This window comes from Homo sapiens, chromosome 10 (genome assembly GCF_000001405.40).
Source record: "Homo sapiens chromosome 10, GRCh38.p14 Primary Assembly".
Lineage (NCBI taxonomy): Eukaryota > Metazoa > Chordata > Mammalia > Primates > Hominidae > Homo > Homo sapiens.
In genome coordinates this window covers 14181961-14205011 of record NC_000010.11, presented here as the reverse complement: position 1 = coordinate 14205011, position 23051 = coordinate 14181961, and the positions used below count along the sequence as shown (strand labels likewise).

General features: G+C 42.9%; 1 protein-coding gene and 1 long non-coding RNA gene across 3 annotated transcripts in view, besides 2 other annotated features; one reads left to right on the top strand and one right to left on the bottom strand.

The window, feature by feature from the left end:
* The window catches only part of FRMD4A (FERM domain containing 4A), a 687219-nt gene that overhangs the window by 125913 nt on the left and 538255 nt on the right, over window positions 1-23051 (top strand). The window lies entirely within an intron of this gene.
* On the bottom strand, window positions 18550-22122 carry LOC124902378 (uncharacterized). The gene is made up of 2 exons (XR_007062060.1): window positions 22041-22122; window positions 18550-20182 (listed from the first exon to the last, which is right to left on the bottom strand). It is a non-coding gene; the product is annotated as an uncharacterized LOC124902378 (long non-coding RNA).
* Window positions 19399-19448: an enhancer, noted in NCBI's record as "active region_3069". NCBI's record gives its function as "activates an Ori minimal core promoter by ATAC-STARR-seq in GM12878 lymphoblastoid cells {active_cell/tissue: GM12878}" and the evidence as "EXISTENCE:reporter gene assay evidence [ECO:0000049][PMID:35858748]".
* Window positions 19729-19788: a silencer, noted in NCBI's record as "silent region_2159". NCBI's record gives its function as "represses an Ori minimal core promoter by ATAC-STARR-seq in GM12878 lymphoblastoid cells {active_cell/tissue: GM12878}" and the evidence as "EXISTENCE:reporter gene assay evidence [ECO:0000049][PMID:35858748]".

Sequence of the window (23051 nt, the reverse complement as noted above, 5' to 3'; positions counted from 1 at the left end):
TAAGGCAGAGACACGTGGGGTGGAGACAACAGCAGCGACTTTGAAATGCAACTTGTGTCTGTGTGGCTCTCCGGGCTCTGTTGGGGCATCGGTTCTTCTCCTTCCTGGTTAAAGCAGTTATTTTGGTGGTGCAGTGCTTTCGCGTTCAATAGGCTTGATTTTGCACACAGCTGGGTTATCTCGGGTATGAAAGCTCTCTGCTTAATCTTCTCGATTTCTCTCTGCTCCTTCCTGCTATGCAGATGTGAGGGAGATGCTTGAATCTCTCTCTCCAGGCTCCGATTAAGTATGACAGTTTCCGTGATGTGCCCACCTAGAGAAATAAGTGAATTGCTACTTTAGGAAGAAAAAGAGAGGGTCCTGCAAAAGGCAGCTAAGGGCCCCATGTGCTGTTTACCTTTCATATTCCTTGCTGAAGTGGGTCTGGATCTATTCATTTTGTAGTTGCGAGAAAAGGAATGAACCGTGACTATGGCAATTCACCGTGACGTGTGATAATTTAGTTTGCTATGAGTTTTCACTCTTAGGTAAAACCTAGTTATCCTAATTAATAATTAGTTATGGATGATATAGTAATTTTTTTTTTTTGACTGCGTCTCACTGTCATTCGGGCTGGAGTACAATGGCTGATCACAGTTCGGTGCAGCCTCAACCTCCCTGGGCTCAGTGATTCTCCTACCTCAGCTTCCCAAGTAGCTGGGATTATAGGCATGCACCATCATGTCTGGCTAATTTTTGTATTTTTTTATAAAGACAGGGTTTTGCCATGTTCAAGACCCAGGCTGGTCTTGAACTCTTGGGCTCAAGCAATCCTCCCACCTCGGCCTCCCAAAGTGTCAGGATTACAGGCATGAGCCACCACACCCAGCCTATAGTGATACCTCTAAGTGAGTCTCTCCTTTCTTCCTTTCGGTAATTTTTCAAAGCAACAGGCACCTGATTAAATAAGAAAGTTGACTAGCTTTTCTAATGCCTACTAATGAAGTGAAGAACTAAAGAACTTCTGTGATTTCAATGAAAGCCCTTCAGAGATGTTCCTGGGCTCTTGTTACTGACAATCTGTTGGGAACTGTGGGTCAAACTACGATAGACAAATAGATCTTGCTCCAGAGGAAGAACGATTGGCTGAGATAATACCTCAGGACAGCTGGAATAACTTTAGGCACAATTCAAATGAATGCTTTTCGAGGAGGAGCGTTTTAAAAGTCAAGGGAAGTTCTAATCGGATAGCAAGTCAGGATAGAGCATTCCCATTAGCATAATTCCCCTCCCAATAGATGCAGACATGGGAGAAAGGGGAAATTGCAAGTATTTCTAATGATGATGGGACACAGCCAGATGACAAGATGACAAACAAGGTGACCCCCGTGGGAAGCGCTTACTGATTCAAAAATTAAATAATGAAGGCTGTAAGAAAGTAAGGGCAAATTTAGCCGAGTTAATGTCTGTTCTTTAGGTTTATTAGAGAAGGGCAAAAGCCAGACACTTGACATTGTTATTGTTAATTAACTACCATTATCACCGCCTGCTTTCTAGTGTCTAGATACTTTCTGGAATCTAGTGTTATCTTCAGTCAAATGTTCATTGGATGTGCCCTGTCATGAGTGTGATATTGCAAAAACATTCTACATTAACCACTGCAAAACAGCGATGTAAATTTGGCTCACTCTAGGAGAGCCCATCTCTACCAAATGTTGAGATGGAAAATGGGGAAACGACGTTGTAGTCAGTTTCCTCTAGATCATGTCAAACATTCAAAGACTGATTATTTATTTAAAAAATCTATATATGCTGCAATAAAAATCTAAATTAAAAAAGTGAAGAAACAGGCAAAAGGACAGGAGAGGAGGCAGGCCAGTGAATGTGTAGTATACCACTGGATTTCTACACGGCCCTGGAGGTGTCAGACATAAACTTGAGTCTAAAATATTCAGCTTGTGGCCAGGCACGGTGGCTCACACCTGTAATCTCAGCACTTTGGGAGGCCAAGGTAGGTGGACCATTTGAACCCAGGAGTTGGAGACCACCCTAGGCAACATGGAAAAACCCTGTCTCTACGAAAAATACAAAATTAGCCAGGCTTGGTGGTGCCTGCCTTGTAGTCCCAGCTATTGTGGAGGCTGAAGTGGGAGGATCACTTGAGCCTGGGAGGTCAAGGTTACATTGAGCCATGATTGCACCGCTGAACTCCAGCCTGGGTGACAGAGAGAGATCTTGTTTCAAAAAAATAAAATGTTCAGCAGCCACTGCAAAGAGAGAACATCCAGTTATGTGATGTATAGTGACCCTAAAGTCAAAACTAACCAGGTGTAGCCAGTCGCGGTGGCTCATGCCTGTAATCCCAGCACTTTGGGAGGTTGAGGCAGGCAGATCACTTGAGGTCAGGAGTTCGAGACCAGCCTGGCCAATATGGTGAAACCCCGTCTCTACTAAAAATACAAAAATTAGCCGGGGGTGGTGCTGCTCACCTGTAATCCCCGTACTTGGGAGGTTGAGGCAGGAGAATCGCTTGAACCCAGGAGGCGCAGGTTGCAGTGAGCCGAGATAGCGCCACTGCACCCCAGCCTGGGCAACAGAGCGAGACTCCATCTCAAAAATAAATAAATAAGTAAATAAATAAATAACTAAAAACTAACCAGGTGTTTGAGATGAGGACCACTATTCCTATTCAGACCCTCCAAAGAGGCTTTTCTGTGTCTTTTCCCATCTGAGGGGATACCACCACCTTCTGTGTCATCACAAAGTCAGGCTGGGGCACAGACAGGAAGGCTTCTGCCTGGCTCTGCACTCCTGCCTGCCACTGTCTTGCAGCACACCACTGACTTAGTTTACCAGAATCCAATGGCTCTCCACGTGAATTTTTTTTTTTTTCTTGAGACGGATTCTTGCTCTGTGGCCCAGGTTGGAGTACAATGGCACGATCTCAGCTCACTGCAACCTCCCCCTCCCGGGTTCAAGCAATTCTCTTGCCTCAGCCTCCCGAGTAGCTGGGATTACAGGCACACACCACCATGCCCAGCTAATTTGTTTGTTTGTTTGTTTTTCAGTAGAGACGGCGTTTCACCATGTTGGCCAGGCTGGTCTCAAACTCCTGACCTTATGATCCAGCCGCCTCAGCCTCCCAAAGTGCTGGGATTACAGGCATGAGCCACCGCACCCAGCCTCCACGTGAATTTTAAAGACACGAAGGTCTTCCTTTATGGAATGGTTTGTGTGATCTGCCAGGAAGCAGCCCCCACAATAAAGTCATTTGCTACGTGTCCAGATAGGACCACAGCTCCAGAGAAGCATCAACCACAGGTCTCCCTGGCTTCTCAGAGAGGCATTTTGAAGGTTGGGTTTGGCAACAGCTGAAGCCAAGAGTAACAGCTTTCTCAGTTTAGAGAGGGGGTTCTCTCCTCTCAGACCACACTTTTATTTGCTGGACATTATGAAAAATAAATTATAAGGCAGAAAAGCGAATGGGAGAGGGAAGGCAATATTAGTACAACTCAGACACAGCTGTGTTTTTGTGAAAAGCGAGTCTGTATTATTTCCCCCCAAGTTATTCCTGCAGCAATACTTAGTAGTTCTCTTTGCAATGCCCCCAGAAGAGAATCCACTTCTCAGGCATTCCTAAGTATGTCAGTCAGGATCCAGTCAGGAGATGGAACCGACGCCAGTTATTCTAACCGGGAGAATTTGATATAAATCATTGCTAACTGGGTAACTTGAAAGGCAAAGAGAAGGGCAGCAGGGAATCAAAGAGGCCGCTGTTGCAGGAAGCAGCTACTCCAAGGACTGGCGAGCAAGAGGAGAGCTGGAATTATCAAAACGGAGAAGCTTGGAGGAAGATCCCCGTGAGCTGCAACTCAGACCTCTGGGGTCAGGGCTGCTGTCCGGTGCTGGTATCTCTGACCTGAGAGGAGGGGTCTGTGGGCCTGAACACTGAGCTCTGAGGAAAGGGCTCTGGCAGCTAGGGCTGGTGTCCAAGGAAGTAGGATGAAGCTGGCTCTGCCAGCACTGGAAAAATTGCTAGCTGGATTCAGCTGTTCCTGCAGCTGGCATTGCTGGAATGAAACGCTCCTGACAGGTAGGACCAGCCAGAATGGCTTCATGGGGACTGAACAGGAGGTAAACAGGAATAAATGAGCCCTCCAGCCTTGCAGTCTCCCTCCCACGCCCCCTACCGGCAGAACCTAGAAGAGACACTGGAGCCACGCTTCCCTGTAAGCTCAGCCCAAGCACCGGAAAAAAGCGCCTGGAAGGGCTGATTTGAAAAGGAAGAGCCATAGCTTGCCACTGGGACAGTGAACCACGCAGACTGTATGGAAGGTTCCAGAGAGAAGGCTGAGGAGGCTGAGGAGGCTGCTCACCCTGCACAGTGCTCAGCGTTTTATGATTCCTTTCCCTGCAAAATAAATCCCCATTGAACTTCTCTCCCTTAGTGTCTCTTCTCCACATCCCTGTCTGTAGCTCTCTTTCCTTTACAAAATGATATCACCTGAGGTCAGGAGTTCGAGATCAGCCTGGCCAACATGGTGAAACCCCATCTCTACTAAAAATACAAAAATTAGCCTTGCAAGGTGGGGGTGCCTGTGGTCCCAGCTACTCTGGAGACAGAGGTGGGAGAATCACTTGAACCTAGGAGGCGGAGGTTGCAGTGAGCTGAGATTGCACCACTGCACTCCAGCCTGGGTGTGACAGAGTGAGAGTCTGTCTCAAAAAAATAAGAAATTATATTAAACTATCAGGTGCTAATCTTCCAACCCTGAGTCCATCCCCATCAGTAAAAGTTGTGTCAGAGTAGATTTTAAATATTTTCAACACAAAAATATAAGGCCTGGCACAGTGGCTCATGCGTGTAATCCCAACACTGCGGGAAGCTGAGGCAGGAGGATCACTTGAGCCCAGGAGCTCATGGCTGTAGTGAGCTGTGATTGCACCACTGCACTGCACTCCAGCCTGGGCAACAGCAAGACCCTGTCTCCAAAAAAAAAAAAACAAAACAAATTAATAAATAAGCAAGGTGATGGATGTGTTAAGCTTGATGTAATCATTCCACAATGTAAACATATACCAAAATATCACATGTGCCCCATAAATATATAATATATGATTATTTGCCAACAAAAACATAATTTTTAAAATTTTAGTAAAATTTTTAAAATTATTCATGTCTTTCTTAAAGGTAGAGGAAATAATAAAGTACATATTATGTCAAAATTAATGTCTTTTATTCACATCAATATAAAAAAGAATGAAAGATTAAGATTAAAACTAAATATGATGAGATAAATTTAAATTTAGAAATTAAAAGGAATAAAAGGTAAATGTCTAAAATAACAGGCACGGTGGCACACACCTGTACTTCCAGCTGTTTGGGAGGCCAAGGCAGGTGGATCACCTGAGGTCGGGAGTTTGAGACCAGCCTGGCCAACATGGCAAAACCCTGTCTCTACTAAAAATACAAAAATTAGCCAGACGTGGTGGTGGGTGCCTATAATCCCAGCTACTTGGGAGGCTGAGACAGGAGAATTGCTTGAGCCCGGGAGGTGGAGATTGCAGTGAGTTGAGATTGAGCCCGGGAGGTGGAGATTGCAGTGAGTTGAGATTGAGCCCGGGAGGTGGAGATTGCAGTGAGTTGAGATCACGCCACTGCACTCCAGCCTGGGTGACAGAGTAAGACTCTGTCTCAAAACATAATAAATAAATAAATAAATAAATAAATAAATAAATAAATAAATAAAATAAGACACTTAAAAATCAAGCAGTAGAATTAATGCAAAATGATAAAGAATAAGTTACAAATAAGCATTAAAATGATAGCCAGAAAGCAAATGAGATTAAAACTTTTAAAAATGGAAACAACATAAAAATTTTAAAACCAACCAGTAACACTATAAAACCAGTAAAATTAAATTACTTTGCTTTTTGGATAAGAAAGGAAGAAATGGACTGGATAAGAAAGGATAATTAATTTTAAGAGAAAACACGGAAAGGTAAGATAGAAACAAGGAGCTTAAATGTAACCATAAATAATAATAATTATCATGTACTAAGCATTTAAAGATGAATGACAAGCCCTCTACTGAGTACTTTGAATGTAGTGTCTCATTTAAACCTCACAATAGCTCTGTAAGGCAGATGCTATTGTTATCTTCATATTTTATAGATGAGAAAACTGAGACTTAGAGCGGTCTCGCAGCTCATAAAATGCGGAGTTGGAATTTAACTCGGCCAGTTCTCTCTAGATGGAGAGCTGGAGTTTTGTAGGAAAGCTATAAGATAACGCACCGTGGATGGAGGAAGAGACAAATTCAAGGTAATCAGTACATGTGATGTCAATGAGATCCCAAAGTAATACTGAAATACTGATTTGTTCAACAAAACATATCTGTGATAAGAGGACAATGAGGGCAAAGTCAGAAAAGAGAGCAAGGAGGAAATGAGAGGAAACAAACTGCAAAACTCAAGGATCCAGGGAATCAGTCAAGTCTCCTGTGAAATTGGCTTGCTCCTCAAAGCCCTCACTTTCCCTGGGATGCAGCCTCCTGGCCCCCTGGACACTTCCTCTGCCTTTGCTTCCTCCTCCATGAAATTGCCTAGGCCCCTTCAGTAAACCTTGTTTCTATTCCGCCTGGCCAAGAACCATGTGCCGCTGCCTAGTAGCAATTGCATGGCAGTTGCCTCAACATCCCAGGTCTCTCCAGCCCGATGTCCCAATGAGGTCATGTGGGCGGGAACATCCCCATCACTCTCGCTCCAAGACTCTGTGCTGACACAAGGAACGCAGTCCTTGAGGAGATCTGTTCCTTAGTTATATCTGACAATCCCAAGTAAATGATCTATGAGCCCGAGCAGCTACTCCCCACTGGTATTGATTCCTTTGATTCGTGCCACCATCTCAGCTAATACGCTCTGGGAGAGTAGTTTGAAGGTCTGGGCAGGCCAGGAAACTGCAGGCATGTTTCCTACTAGGATGTGCTTTGCTGGATGGAGGATGAGCACTGGAAAGCACCACATTGGCCAGGTCTGTCCTGCGGACTCCCAGCTCACCAAAGAGCCAGAGCGGAAACTCCAGGCAAGCAGTTAGTGCTGGTATGACACATGGTCAGTGATGGTCAGTGATGAATAAGTAGAATATTCTGTCTCGTGGAAATTACTGTGGGATTTGTTTTTCAAGGGTTGCATAGATGATGTGCTCACTTTCTAGGATTTAATAATTATGGACAAACGTCTAGGCATTAGTGCGAAGTTGGCAATTTGAGTGCCAAAGTTTACATGTATGCTTGCATGTAGAACATGCAAGACAATTGAATGAAATAATAATTTAATAGTACAGTGGATTTGTCATAACTAGAGTGATCCTGGCCAGGCACGGTGGCTCACGCCTGTAATCCCAGCACTTTGGGAGGCAGAGGTGGGCGGATCACTTGGAGTCAGGAGTTCAAGTCCAGCCTGGTCAATGTGATGAAACCCCATCTCTGCTAAAAATACAAAAATTAGCTGGGCCTGATGGCGGACGCCTGTAATCCCAGCTACTCGGGAGGCTGAGGCAGGAGAATTGCTTGAACACGGGAGGAGGCTGCAGTGAGCTGAGATTGCACCACGAGCTAGACTCCATCTCAAAAAGTAAAATATAAAAAATAAAAAAACTAGAGTGATCGTATATCCTGCTTGTCCTGAACAATTTTGTTTTATGTGTTATACGCCAATATTATTATTCATATTGTCTCCTTTTGCCCTTAAAAGTTATCACGTGGTTCCCCTCGTCATAACACAATAAATGGGGTCCCGATTTGCCTGTATAAAATTGTATAAAATGTGGGGTTCCCTTATTGTGAGGTTAATGAATTGAACAACTGAGGTACCAGACCAGGGAGTTTCTGGGTTGAGCTGCTTGTCCCAGCCTTATTGTCGCGCCCCCTGGTGGCAGCTTTCTGAGCTGGCTTAAATATCCATCGGGATGTTTCTGGGTCTTCAGGCTGGCAGGGGTTTTGAGAACAGTGATAGCAATTCTAGGATTCACCCAATTCGTTGGTTTCCAATTCATGGAGACTGGCCTCAGACTATTGACATTGCATGGACCCTAGACAGGGTTGCCTGCCTTCCCCTGCCTGGCCTTGACCTCCCTTCTCTGTCATTCCTCCCCAGGGTAAGAAGTTTAGCCCAAACCATTTAGAGAACTACGACTGGACATAAAGATGGGAATGAATTGTCTAGCGCTTTATATTTGGATTCAAGCAATCACAGTTAACACTGGTAATCCCAATAATAGTTAACATTTATTGAATGATTTCTATGGGCTAGCAATTTACATTAAGAATGGCATTTCTAATCCAACACCAAACAATGTAAAGTACACTTTAGACTCTGTTGTAATAGATTTTTAGACAACCACATAGATGTCAGTGTTTATCCATATCTAGGAATTATGTAGAAAGTATTGTTTTGGTTTGGGCATTATTTTTGCTTAGAAATTATAAAAATATAAAAAGTATTTGTTTTTCTTGTGTAAAATCAAAGCCTTCAGGTTTTCATTTAAATTGAACATTAGCCTTTGATTTGAATAACTTATGCCCTTCAGGTGCCCTAAAGCTGTTGGATAACAGGAACATTTTAATGTTTTACAGCCTGTCTGGAACTCTTGCAGCTTGGGCTACTAGGTCCATGGGTGAAGGTCAGCCTGGCAGAGACTCTGGGATCAGTCCTTGGAGGGTGGGTCAAGTTTGAGTAGCTCAAGGTTGAGTTGAGCAGAATAGCTGGTCTTACCCAGCCTCAGCTCTCAGCCTTCTAGTAATGGGATTCCTGCCATATTTCCATGACTGCTGGTGCAAGGATGTGTGTGTGTGTGTGTGTGTGTGTATGTGTGTGCATGTGAGTATATATGTTTATGTGCACACCTGTGTGTTTATGGTCAAGCTGGAAGGGTTTTAGCATGGGAATCAGAATTTGTTTTTGCAGTCTCTGTCCATTTTAATTGACTTGCCTTATCTGGAAAAGCCTTTGTTCATGTCCTGCCTCCACTGATCTTTCTCAAAATCTCATGCAGAGACATAATAGCTGCTCTGTAAACATACTGAACAAAACTTTTCAGAGTGTCGTGAAGTCGTAAGGAACTACCAGGCTTAGATTCGTAGTTTGTATGTGTTCAATGTAAGTGAAGAACTGTGACAGGACATACAACAGGCACCTTCTCTATAACCTTTCCTGAGCTGTTTGCACGCAGGATGCCACAGTACACTGGATCCAAGGAGTTGCTACTATTAATTTTATCCTGGGCTCTGCCCTCAGAAAAGGAGCTGGTTTCATTTTGGTCTCTGAAGTCATGAATATTACCACCTTCCTGCTGGGAATCATGTAAGAAACTGATTAGCCCCAGCTTGATTCCCCCTGCAACGGGGGACGCCTGGAGAGCTCACTGCACGAAGAGTCAGACTTGATGTTCAAAACTGAGCAAGTTTATTTGTTATCCGAGGAGAGAATGGAATAAGTATGGGAACCTTAGGGAAATAATTTGTACAGGTAGTTTTCAGTCTCTAACTGCAGCCCGAGTTCCCTCTGCTATTTTCTGATGGCAACTGATTTTTTTTTTTTTTAATGAAAGAAAACACAGGGGAGACAATTTACTTTTGTCAGAAAGATATACTATCTCAGGCAGATGTGATTCCCTCCTAGGTATGGTTTTATTCTTTTTAAATTCCACCGAATTCCTAAAACAGATTCTGGAGCTTCGGTTTCTGGTTCTTGCCCCATTTCTAACTTACTGGATTATAACAGGTAATATCCTTAAACATGCTGAGCCTGTTTCCACTCAAGCAAAAATAAGAATTAGGACATCTAGCCTACATAAAAGGGAATGCCAAGGGAATCTGGTGGATTATTTTTGATGTTTGGGAGAAAGAAATAGCATCTACTACTACTACCAATTCTTATTGTTCTGTGTGAGCCTACCCTGAGAATAAGAATTGCTATTTCACTTTTAAGGAATGAAAGAAAAATGTAAGGAAACAGAGATGATGATTTAATACTTTGACCAATCTGAAATGAAATAGGGGCACTTCTCTTAAGACCTGGATATAGTTCATGATTTCAAGCTAACAGTATCTGAAAAATCAGCTAAGCTATTTTTCAAAGGGCATTTGGAAGAGAATAATATAATGTTATTAACAGATTAATAATGATTTTACATAAATGAATGTGATATAATATGATAATAATATAGATTAATAATACTATAAATAGAATAATATTTCTTAGAACCAAAAGAAGATTTTACGTGCTTTAAGGAGATAAAAGAGAGAGAACCATAAAATAAGAGATTCCAGAAAGTTTATCCTCTTGACATCTCAGAAATGAACATTTCCTGAAGCAGGAAGTAGGAATGCTCCTTGGTTTTTTGTTGTTGTTGTTGTTGTTGAGACAGAGTCTCGCTGTGTCGCCCAGGCGAGAGTGCAGTGGTGCGATCTCGGCTCACTGCAAGCTCCGCCTCCCGGGTTCCCGCCATTCTCCTGCCTCAGCCTCCCGAGTAGCTGGGACTATAGGTGCCTGCCACCACGCCCGGCTAATTTTTTGTATTTTTTAGTAGAGACGGGGTTTCACCGTGTTAGCCAGGATGGTCTCGATCTCCTGACTTCGTGATCCGCCCGCCTCGGCCTCTCAAAGTGCTGGGATTACAGGCCTGAACCACTGCACCCGGCCTCCTCCGTGTTTTTTAATACCCTTTCCCCACAATGCCAGCATAGTGCTGTGAGAAGTAGTAGGGCTGACGAGTGAATGAAGGAACGCAGAGATGGATGAGTCAAGGAAGGAATAAGTGAATGTTCTCACATCGCTAGAGGGCTTTGTTATTTGCTTTTACTTTTGTGGTTATAGAAGCTGATTGTAGGGAATTTGCAAAATGAAGATAAGTATAAAAATGAGAATTAAAATCACAGAGGAAACCCCCTGGGGTCTTCATTTGCAGGTTTGTGCTTTTGCCAACATGTATAGCTAGTTATGTAAATTTAATGCATGGAAATTCTGTGTCTTAAAGTCTGATCTTCATGGAATTAAAAAAGAAAGGGAATTTCCATAGTTTGTATGTATCAACTTTGAATCAGGAAAAATTCAGAGAAGCAGGGGACATGGGTTGGGATGGATCAGTGTTCACCACAGAACCTTTTAGGGACCAAGAAGTCTAGGAAAGGAGCAACGCATTTCCATCAACCTCATCAAACTAAGAAGTGTGCCAGTGTCTTAGCGAGAGGAGCCTGGAGTTGACATAGAACATCAAAGCAGTATCTCTAGGCATATGTATTTGTTATATAATATTATATATTATTTGTAGTTTTTTTTTTTTTAATTTGTAGACCAGCACTGCTGGTCCCTACTGCAACTTTTTGCTTGGTTTCCAGGCCATCTTTCATTGCTTATGAATATTTCTGGTCTCCTCTTTGCCCAACTAAATTGTATGTTCTTCAAAAACCATATGGGGTCTTGTTCTGAATTCATCCCTCTGTTTTTACATTCACTCTACAAGTTTCCATTGCACACTCTGTGTGTGTGTGTGTGTGGGTGGGTGGGTGGGTGTATGTATGTATGTGGTAAAACACCAAGAATTAAAAAGCAATGAAATGTGACATTTCCGTTTTCTGGAAGTTTGGTTTGTGATTAATAAGACAAGGTCTCTGGACCCGAAAGTGTTAAGTAAAAATATCAGCAAAGGCTCACTAATGCTTCCATTGCACAGTTCCTGATGTGAGGCACATCACTTGGTGCATTAGTCTCAGTTGATGGATTGATTAATTAAGAGGCAACCTATCAGGGAGAAAGCAAGGTAAAGTACTGTTCATTGGTTTACAGACAGTCTAATGTATTTAGAAATCATCAGGAGTAAGACTGTGTTCTTCCCAAGATCATGATTACCAGAAATCCCATTCAAACAAAAAATAAAATTAGCCATGGATGGCCCAGGGTAGAATTTCTGAAAACAGTATTTAACTTGACCTAGATATTGACAAGGATAACAGTGCAGTCCTTGATGTTGGAGTCAGCAAATACACGCTGTTACTCTTTATTTCTTTTTGTGGCATTACTGTCTGTGCAAATATATTTAGTTCATATTGCTATGTACACAGCAGTGACAACTGCACCCTATTGGTGTGATTAGAAATGCAACAGTGAATAAATAAATCATCCTTTGTGACCCCTGGAAGAAAAAGTTGATGCAAAAATGCTTAAAAACTCTTTGAAGGAATTCATTACGTTTTAGAATTCAGTAACCTAGAGGGGAGATGTTCATTCCTGGAAACTCACAGAATAAAATCACACCTTGGTAATACCATGTTCACTGATGTACTTGAGCTTATTGTATAATACTGTGGAGGGAACAAGAAGGCTCTTCTTTGGAGAGGTTTAAGGAGGAGATGAAAATACATAAGTCCAAGAGATCCTGAAGCTCTCTTAAGGAAAGAGGTTAAAAAAAGAAGGTTCTTAATACACATGAAGATTTGGAGAGGCTGATGCTGCAAGAATAAAAGGAATGTGGAGGAATTTATCTCACAACAGTGCACCACTGTAACAGGTTTCTTTTAGCAGAGTTTTGTTATGTGAATGTATATTTCCTGATATTTACACTTTCCCATTTTTGCTTCTAAGCTAATTAGGTTATAAGAGCTGTTACTCTAAACAAGTTAATCAATCTCTTTCAACATCTTCCAAATAAGATAAGCAAAACAGGTGTGTGTGGATACACACTGATATTCAAAATGGTCTGTGTATACAGCTACACAAAACCCAGTTAGCAATTCTTACAAAGAAAAAAGTGGAGAATTAGATATGTTATTCTCCATCCAAAAGAATGATTTCATATAAAGCCTAGAAAAGTCAGTGAATTGGAATTCCCTTGGATGATAAGGGGATGGTGACTTTCAGGGATAAAAACCACCAAGGAGGTAGCTGTGCACCTTTGGCTGGGGCTCAGAATTGTTGATTATTAGCAACTCTGGCTTAAAGTGTGGTCAGTTAAGACCAGTGGAGGTTAAAGCCTGGTTGAAATGTCAACCGGGGATGTGAAAAAGTGGTCTGGTGGAAGTGGAGACAGTGAGTGAGAAAATAATTTTAATTATAGAATAAAGAAAAAACAGGAAGCAAGAATGAAGAAACATCTAGGAAAGTATAGAAAGAGTTGTAATCACTCATGAGGAGATGAAGCATTTGCCAGGAGAGAGAGAGAGAGAGAGAAAAAAAAAAAACAGCCAGTTGAGCTGAAAACTCCTATCTAAATATGAAAGCAGGGAATATATTCTGAGGCTGGAAATATTCATCAATGTGTTAAATGTCACACATTCTAAAAATATGAGATAGATTTCAACGGCCCTATAGTTAAAGACTGATGATTGGAATATCGCTTTTATGATGCCATAGCAATTCACATGGTTCTTAAGTCTCCATAGCAACAGCCGATACTACTTTTTGTTCTCTTGTGTAGTCACATGATGCTGGATGCACTGCATAAACAGAGGGGAGCGGTCGATTGTATTTCTCAATTAGTGACAGAGAGACCAGGGGTCATGAGACAGGACTTTTATTGGGATTGGTCCTGGGTCTTGTAAACTATGGCTGTCCCTTGATATCCTTTCTCTTAGGAGCTGGCACTTCTACTGGCTGTTCACCTTTGACCCCATTAGCCTCTGCTTTCTCTCAACGACTGTTGTTTTATGAGTTGTGTGTCCATTTAGATAAAATTCTCTCAAAGCAGAAGACCCTTTCTGTTTGGGATTCCCAACTGAAACCATGCCCCAAAGAGTTAAAGAAGCCAATGGCTAACTTCTTGGGCTTAGAGGATAACACACATAAGAAAAGCAAAAACTTGCTGAAAAGCTGAAACTGAGACTATGCCCCCAAGAGTACAACCAGTAACTAACAAAAATTCTTGAGTGTGCAGGTTAACATATAAGACAAGAAACCTCTCACTGCGACACTAAAACTCTCTCCACCTGTGAGATAAAAGAACTGGCTAAAGTTGGTTGGAACCAATATGGCTGACTGGGGTCTGCACGGAACCAGCTTGCTGACCTCACAGCCTGAATTCCCACCCATGTTTCACACTAACTTCCTCCAAATTTGCACACAAAGCCCCAGGAGGCATCACGAATAGATAACTGCGCATGCCCAAGGACTTTCCAGACTTCCTGCTTCCTTCCATCAGTCACCTGCTTATCCCCAAATCCACCCCCTGAAACTTTTCCATTAAAAAATACTGCCTTGGAGCCAGCACAGATAGACAGATTTGAACTTGACTCCTGTCTCCTTGTGAGTAGACTTGCAATATAAAGCTTTTCTTTTCTCAAAAATCCAGTGTTGACAGATGCCGGGGCTCACGCCGGTAATCCCAGCACTTTGGGGGACCAAGGTGGAAGGATTGCTGGAGGCCAGGAATTTGAGGCCAGACTGGGCAACACAAGAAAACTCCAGCTCTACAAAAAATTTATTAGCCAGGTGTGATAGCATGTGCCTGTGGTCTCAAATACTTGGGAGGCAGAGGTGGTCTCAGCTACTCGGGAGGCAGGATCGCTAGAGCCTTGGAGACTGAGGCTGCAGTGAGCTATGATGGCACCACTGCACTCCAGCCTGGGCAACAGAGCAAGACCCTGACTCTAAAAAATGAACAAAAAACAAACAAACAGAAAACCCGGTGTCATAGTATCGGCTTCCAGCACATCCAGCAGTGAGCCCTTTTTTCTGGTAATACAGTTGTCTTGAAAATGGTAGAACTACCAACATGAGAGGGGTGGTCATTTGCTGTGAAGAAACTACTGTTTTCACTTCAGGATGAGCAACAAACTCGTCTGCTAGGGCGAGGGCATACTGTTGCATCAGAATCTGTTCCACAGTTTTTCTGTCTGTAAAATGGGAGTGATAACCAAAACCGTTTTCTTAGTCAAAGGGTAGTGTCTATGAGACATTTAGACAAGTTTTGTCAAATATATTTTGGAAAGTGGTGTACGTGTGGGGAGAACCTGATTTACTGCCTTAGGCTTATGTATTAGAGGTATCAAGGTGCTTCATGTTTTAGCCTAGAGTCAGAGAGCGCCCTATGAAGTTTGCAAGCATAATTAAGATAGATAGAAATCTCTCCTGAGCTCTCATTAAATTTATAAGGATTTTCCTACTGAGGCCGACTCAAATTCCCAACACTTTTGCCATTGTTCTCATTAATGAGCATCAGGCTGAGTTAAGATCTGTCTAAACTCACCTTGACATTGGCTGTTTTTCAGTGGCAGTCAGAAGTTTATGGGCTCTAGTCCTAAGTGATGACACTAACATCTGTTACCCTGACTGAATCAATTCCCTCTTTTTGTTTATTTTTTTCTTTATAGGAGAGGATATTTATACAAGAACAAAGAATGTTACTTGGTACAGAGAAGGCAGTCTGTAAATATTCATTATCTTCCTCCTCTTTTTTCTTTTTTGAAATGGAGTTTCACTCTTGTTGCCCAGGCTGGAGTGCAATGGTGCAATCTCAGCTCACTGCAACCTCCGCCTCCCAGGTTCTAGCAATTCTCCTGTCTCAGCCTCCCGAGTAGCTGGGATTACAGGTGCCCGCCACCACACCTGACTATTTTTTGTATTTTTAGTAGAGACCAGGTTTCATCATATTGGTCAGGCTGGTCTTGAACTCCTGACCTCAGGTGATCCACCCACCTCTGCCTCCCAAAGTGCTGGGATTACAGGCGTGAGCAACCGCGCCGGGCCCATTCTCTTCCTCCTCTTACCCCTTTTTCCACCTCAAATTCTTGCATTTCTGGCATTTTGCTATTGGGATTTCAAAGGTTTGCCAATGATGTAGGCATGTTTGGAGCTAAGGGTGACATCGTAGCAATGCTGCAGCATCATCACTGACGCGAGATGTTAAGCTCTCACTGTCTATAGGACACCATACACAGAGGTGGAAATACACAGCCATGAGACCTTGTGCTTGAGGGTTAAAATACAGATCAGGGTTAAAAGATAACAGCACAAGGTAACTTAAGCTAAATGTCAAACAGGCAGTGAAGACAAACAGAGGTGAGCTGGGTTGCTCAGGGAAAGCTTCCCAGAAAGGAGTTGTTTTGGGCGGGATTTTGTTTGGTTTTGTTTTTGAGACAAAACCTCGCTCCGTTGCCCAGACTGGAGGTCAGTGCTGCAATCACCGCTCATTGCTGCCTTAACCTCCCAGGCTCAGGCGATCCTCCCACCCCAGCCTCCCAAGTTACTGGGACCACAGGCGCATGCCACTGGTGCTCAGCTAATTTTTTGATTTTTCGTAGGGACGGGGTCTCACTATGTTGCCCAGGTTTGTCTCAAACTCCTGGGCTTAAGTGAGCCTTCCACCTCAGCCTCTCAAAGTCTGAGCTACTGTGCGCAGCCAAGGAAAGGAGTTGATGAGGACTTTGAAGAAAGCTAATGTCTATTGAGGGCTTATTAAGTAATGGACATTGGGTCTTGGCCTGCTTTATCTCTTTGATTAAAGTTTGGATTCTGGAAAAGGACCTAAAGGTAGAAAGGTGGGACTGATTGAAGAGGGAATGATTGGATAATGAGTTTGGCAGGCGGGAGGCAAATAGGAAAGGAGACGGCACATGATTCTAAAAGCCAAAGTGAAGAGCTTGTATAATGAGAAGCTATTATACATTTTCAATAGGGAGTGCTATGTGCCCAATTGTAGGATTTCAGTGGGAAGCATTCAAGTCTGAGAAAAGCAACCAAACCACACAAAGAGCCCAGGCAGCAAGCAGGTCATGGGTCCTTGGCACAGGGGGAGAGGCAGGCGTCCAGAAAGGTTGACTTGAGAATCCAGTCATTTTTTATTTGATTCCAGGCATTTTGTGGAAAAGGTCCAGTAAGTAATGAAATAAGTCATTTTTACATGAAAAACAAAAGGCTGACCAGAAGAAAGATTAGCATCAAGGACAGCACCTGGAGAGTCTAAGGAAGGAGCTCCTTTGGGGGAAAGGAGGTTAGAGTTTTAAGTGTATTCAGCATGGAGAGGCTACAAGGAGGTGGAGATACCTTCCCAATAGGACACTAGAGATGGGAAAATTGTATTGTGGGAGCTGCCTGAATGCATTCCATCGTCATCTCCCGGGAAAACTGGGAACCCCACTGTCCCAAGGCCCATAAAGCTAATGGCATGTTTTATGTCTCTGTTTTACATCTTTATTTCCCCCTAGTGAAATATGGAATCAAAGAAAACCAAATTTCCCAAGTCTACTTCTAACCCCCAAAATAAATATTTTACCAAGTATTTATTGAGTTCCTTCTCTGTGACAGCATTCTGCTCATTGCTGCCTTAACCTCCCAGGCTCAGGCGATCCTCCCACCCCAGCCTCCCAAGTTGCTGGGACCACAGGCGCATGCCACTGGTGCTCAGCTTATTTTTTGATTTTTCGTAGGGACGGGGTCTCACTATGTTGCCCTCCCAGCCACTGTATCTGGCTGATCTTTTTCTATGTCAATTTGGGGGTAAATGGAGAAAGGCATGGGATATAGGTCGAAGCAAATGTCCATGGAGCGTTCTCTAAGTCAGTCATTCCACGATAATGGCTCTGTTCCTTTATTTACAAAGGACATATATAGCCAACAGTATGTTGAAAAAGAAAGAACATCAGATTAGCAAGGTTGAGGACTTCTGTAATCTTAGGAAAGTAACCGAACTCTCTGGGACTCAATTTACTTATCTGTGAAATGATGGACTAGTTGATACACAATTTGACTGTAATATCCTATGATCTGATATCATGGAGTTAGGCTCATAATGCCTTTAAGAAATCACATCATTGCTTTTATAGAATGCAAGCTGTTTCTTGTTATAAGGAAGAGTGTCGCCCTCCCTCCCTCCCTCCCTCCCTTCCTTCTTTCCTTCCTTCCTTCTTTCCTTCTTTCCTTTGAGACAGAGCCTTGCTCTGTCACCCAAACGAGAGTACAAAGGCATGATCACAACTCACTGCTTCCCCAAACTCCTGGGCTCAGGCAATCTTCTTGCCTTAACCTGATTAGTAGCTAGGAATGTGCACCGCCACACCTGACTAATTATGTTTTTTTTTTTTTGCAGAGACGAGGTCTCAGTATGTTGCCCAGGCTGGTCTCAAAACTCCTGGGCTCAAGCAGTCTTCCCTCCCTGGCCTCCCAAAGTGCTGTGATTATAGGCATGAACCACCATACTGGTCAGAGAAGGGTATTCCTTAAGGGTACAACTTGTGTCCAAGGCCACCCTGAACAGTCAAAGCTATGATCTTCTTTGCCAGTCTCCTGGGGATCCTGGGGCTGAGCGCAACATCTGCATCCTCAGAGGCTGATAACCCTCCCTTCTCTCATGAGGATATGAAGATAGGTAAGAAGGAAGAGGATGCATGGTCTAGTCCTTGGGTCACCTGAGACTGAACAGGAGAGAAGCAGGGTCCCTAGACCATCATGTTTGTCATGGAGCCAAAGGGTCACTGCCCAGTGTGCCAAGACTATGACACCAGGTTTGTGAGAAAAGCAAAGCTTTTATTGTTCCCAGGGAGACAGGAGTCCAGCTCAGATCTGTCTCCCTCTGCTGGCTTCAAGGGAGTAGTTTTATTAGAAGAGGTTTACGGGGTGGATTCTGGGATTAGTGGGTGATCGGTGGAAGGAAAGGGGAAACCTAGAAAGGTCTTGGCATGAGCAGTTATCTCTTCATGCCTCCTCATGGGTCGCATGTGCAAATTCAGGGGGCGTTAGTACGAAACGTGTGGTGGTAGTTCAGACTGTGACATCACAGGCTGGTTCTGTACAGGCTCTGGTTGGTCATATTGATTCCAACCAATTGTAGCCTGTTTTGTTATCCCATAAGAGGAGGGAGTTTTAGCATTTTGGCCAGTCTTTTTTTTTTTTTCTTTTTCTTTTTATCTGCGATTTTGTAAGCTCAATAAATTCTGTTAGTCATTGGTGTCTTTGTCTCTTTGGACGATGGTTTCCAGTGTCTCCTTTACGGGGGTAGGTCCCAGCCCGCACTTCTGCCCACTGCTGTGCTCCATCACCATGGACCCTGCACAGTTGATCCTCTGGCCTTGTGCTTTTCCTCTCACCTGATGCACATCATTCTGCTCCAGCTGCCATCTTTGCAGTTCCTGCCCAGTCTCTCTCTGCCCTGTTGCTGTTACCACTTTATCTCACTCTAACTCTATGGGAAACCTGGCCATGGCTGTCTCCACTGGGCCCTGCCCTGTCTACCCTATTCCGCCCAGGACTAGTCTGGATTGTACGTATCTGTTGCTTTGGCTGGTACTAGCCTGGTCTACTGCTGTTGCCATCCCTTCTCTCTAGAACTACTGAAGGTGCCACTGTTGAGCTGCTGCTATCCTCTCTTCTGCTCATCTGCACAGCTAACAACCGCCCCTGCAGCTCTCTGACCATGAAGTATATATCCCCTTTCTGTCTCTCTACCTGTTTCTCTTTCTTACAAGACGAGATTGAACCTTTAAATAGTCTTGCTTTATGTTTCAAGTTTCCATAGTTCTACAACAAACCTCCAAAAAATACTTGAAGTTAGAAAAATTACAAAATGTTGTAATGTTTTTTGTACTAATTTCTGCCACGACATCCTCATCTGTACTAGCTCTCCTTACGCTTAGGGTGGTAGATTTTTTCATGCACATTCTACAGATTTTAGGGTTTAGACACACAGATCTCTCACTATGGATATCTAGAACTAAATGAAAAAATGAAAGACTCTATCTCTACATCCTTCTGCTGGGATCTCTCAGGAAGCAAGAGTCTTATGCAAATAGTTTCCGGGCTTCTTGAAATAGACATGCAAATTAGAACCCACAGTGGCTTTGGGCTACACCACATTATACACATAACAGGAAAAGGAGGATGAAAGGTTCTTTCTGAGCTATATGCCTGGGAAAACCTGTTCAGACACAGACATTGGCAAAAGATGATCAGCATATGGAGGGGCCTTGGGTTGATTTAACAAAGAAAAAGTATCAAGGCCCAGGGACCTAGATTCAAAGCATTCCTTTCTCCTGGGTTTTGTTTTCTCTCATTCCGCGCTCTCTGATTGTGTAACTGTCTAAACAAATTCAGACATGAAAGGGAAACACCCTACACGACTTTAGCGGTCGCGTTTGTTTGTGCTCCATCGCAGTACCCACGCAGTTGTATCCGGGCAGGCCATGCACGAAGATGTGGTAAGGATATCTATCATTTCCTTAAAAAATAAAAAATAAATAAATAAGAAAATGCGCCTTTATTCTCCAAACTTCTCTTCTTTCATATCTGACTTATAGCCCATGAGCCACACATTTGGGCTACTTTGAAAGAAAGCTTAGGGGGATTGATTTCACTGAGAGGTAGAAACAGAAGCCATGCTCTGCCCGGCCTGGACGTGTGCTTCTGGGAACGTTCAGAGGCTCCTCAGGAGACGGGCACGGTGCCTTGTATAAAGCACTTCAGCCTTTGTTGAGCAAACAAATTCCCTTAAATTGGAACAACAACAAAAAATACCTTTTTTAACATTGGAGAAGTAGTAATTTCTCCATTTTTTTTAACATAATAGAATAGAAAGTTGGCTAAGAGAAGCTAGATAAATAACTGAGATTACTCAACAAGCTGGGTATAGAAAATGGGTTCAGTTGCAGTGGCTCACGCCTGTAATCCATCCCAGCACTTTGGGTCAGGAGTTCGAGACCAGCCTGGCCAACATGGTGAAACCCCATCTCTACTAAAAAAAAAAAAAAAATTAACCGGTTGTGGTGGTATGCACCTGTAATCCCAGCAACTCTGGAGGCTGAGGCAGGAGAATCGCTTGAACCCAGGAGGCAGAGTTTGCAGTGAGCCGAGATGGCACCACCGCGCTCCAGCCTGGGCAACAGAGAGTGAGACTCTCTCAAAAAAAAAAAAAAAAAAAAAAAAGAAAAGAAAAGAAAAACAAAAAAGGAAATGTGTTAAGATGTAAGCGCTTGGTGATCTACTTTTAGAAGGTCCAACTCCTTTCTCCAAACCATGACCAGGTAAAAACATGCTTGGAAACCATAGCAAAGTTTTCAAATTAAGCCTTTGTTTCTGGAGCTATTTTCCATATCTCATAATTTCTCTTTGTTCTTATGATTACTATGATGTTTAAAGTCAATACTGTTCACAAAGTTTGGTTTCTTAGGTTATGCTGAGGTACTGAGTCAGAAAAATCATGTCTTACTAAAATTGAGACAGAAATATTCTTCACACCTGATCAAAATGCCAACTTGGCTTTATGACCTCAGGCATGAGTGTCTCTGTTTATGAACATTTTTAAAAGACAGTAGTTTTGCTTTTAATGAACATATTTAGATACCATGGTTAAGATTCAATTTGCAAAATAGAGTGCATTTCCAGGTTTGGGAGTAAAAGATGCCCATCAATTTCATTATTTTGACACAGTGAGAAATTGAATCAAGCAATTACTTTCCTTTGTGCCTCAGGTTGAAGCTGGCCAAGGAAATTTAAGACACAGGAGTGATTTGAAAAAAAAAAAAGAAACAACTCCTTAGAGCTATGAAGATAATGCACATTGAGGCACATTTATTGTTTGAAAGGTCACATTGTAAACATAATTCCATTATTAGACAATCCCAGTACTGTTAAAGGGACCATCAAACACTCTGCAGGCATGGCCCATTCCAACTTGTAAAATTAGAATAACTTAGAAGAATGAGCTTTTATAACATAAAGGAATTTCCTGCAGATTTCTAAATAAATTAATGTGTAACTTTCCAAGACACCACTAATGATATAAAGTGAACTCTGTCTGCACATTATTTCATTCGTGCATGACACATAACTTTTCAAATAAAGTGAGGTGTAAATTCAATTTTAAATTAAGAAAAATCGAGTCTAAGACCATATAATCTGGAGATCACTTATCAGCACTCTGTAAACTTCAGTGTTCTTGTTTTTCTCTTCAAATATGTTACTGCCTAGCTCTATGCTTTTTCAGCATGGGTCAGTCTCTCTGTCTGAAGTCCTCCCTCACCTCCTACACATCTCCACCCCATCCTGCTTACGACAGCCCCACGCACCAACATCCTAACCTCCTCCAGATGGTCAAAGCCACCTTCAAGAATAGGATTTCCCTTGAAGCAGCCTAATCAACAATCCCAGGTGAAATGAGTACTTCTCCCAACGTTTGCTTCCACTTGAATTGTTCAACCCTCCTGCTAGTTCTCACTCAGTAGAATTCAGAAGGTTTCTGTGATTGTTACCTCTAATCCTTGGAGTTCTTAAATTTTTCAACAGCCTTCACCTGTACTCTTCACACTGGTAACCTCAGGGCAGAGCCCCCGGTCGAACCTGCCTTAAAGGAGGTTCTCAGCATATGTGTCCACCTTGAAGGAACCTAGGAACATCCCTGTACCAAGGAGTTCATGAGTTACTTTTAGGGTAGATGATGGGGGTCTCTTTCACACCCCTACCATGAAGGATAGGCCAATTAGAGAAAAAAAAAATTTTTGTCTTGTCAGACTTCTCTTGCTCTGTTGTCCAGGCTGGAGTGCAGTGGCAAGATCAGAGATCACTGCAGCCTCAAACTCCTGGGCTCAAACTCTCCTCCTGCCTTAGCCCTCCAAGTAGCTGAAACTATAGGCATGTGCCACCTTGCCTGGCTATTATTATTATTTTTTATTTTTTGTAGAGACAGTGTCTTCTTATGTTACCCAAGCTGGTCTTGAACTACTGGCCCCAAGCAATTTCATTGCCTGAGCCTCCGAAAGCACTGGGATTCCAGGCATGTGCTACTGCACCCTATCTCTCTCTCTTTTTAAAAACACAGCTTGAGAGTTCAAAGAAGTCTTAGAAGCAGAAACTGTGTCAACTCCCATCTCCATTGATCACTATCATTTTTGTCCCCTCCCCAGTCTAGGTTTGATAAACAATTATACGGCAGTTTGGTAGTAGTGTTGGGGTTGCCTCTTATAAAGAAAAAGCCACAAATAAACAAAGCTTTTGAAAGTGGTTTGTCCAAGTCGTGACAATCCTGAACATTTTGACAGAAATATCAAGAAAAGATGTAGTCCGGGTACCGTGGCTCACGTCTGTAATCCCAG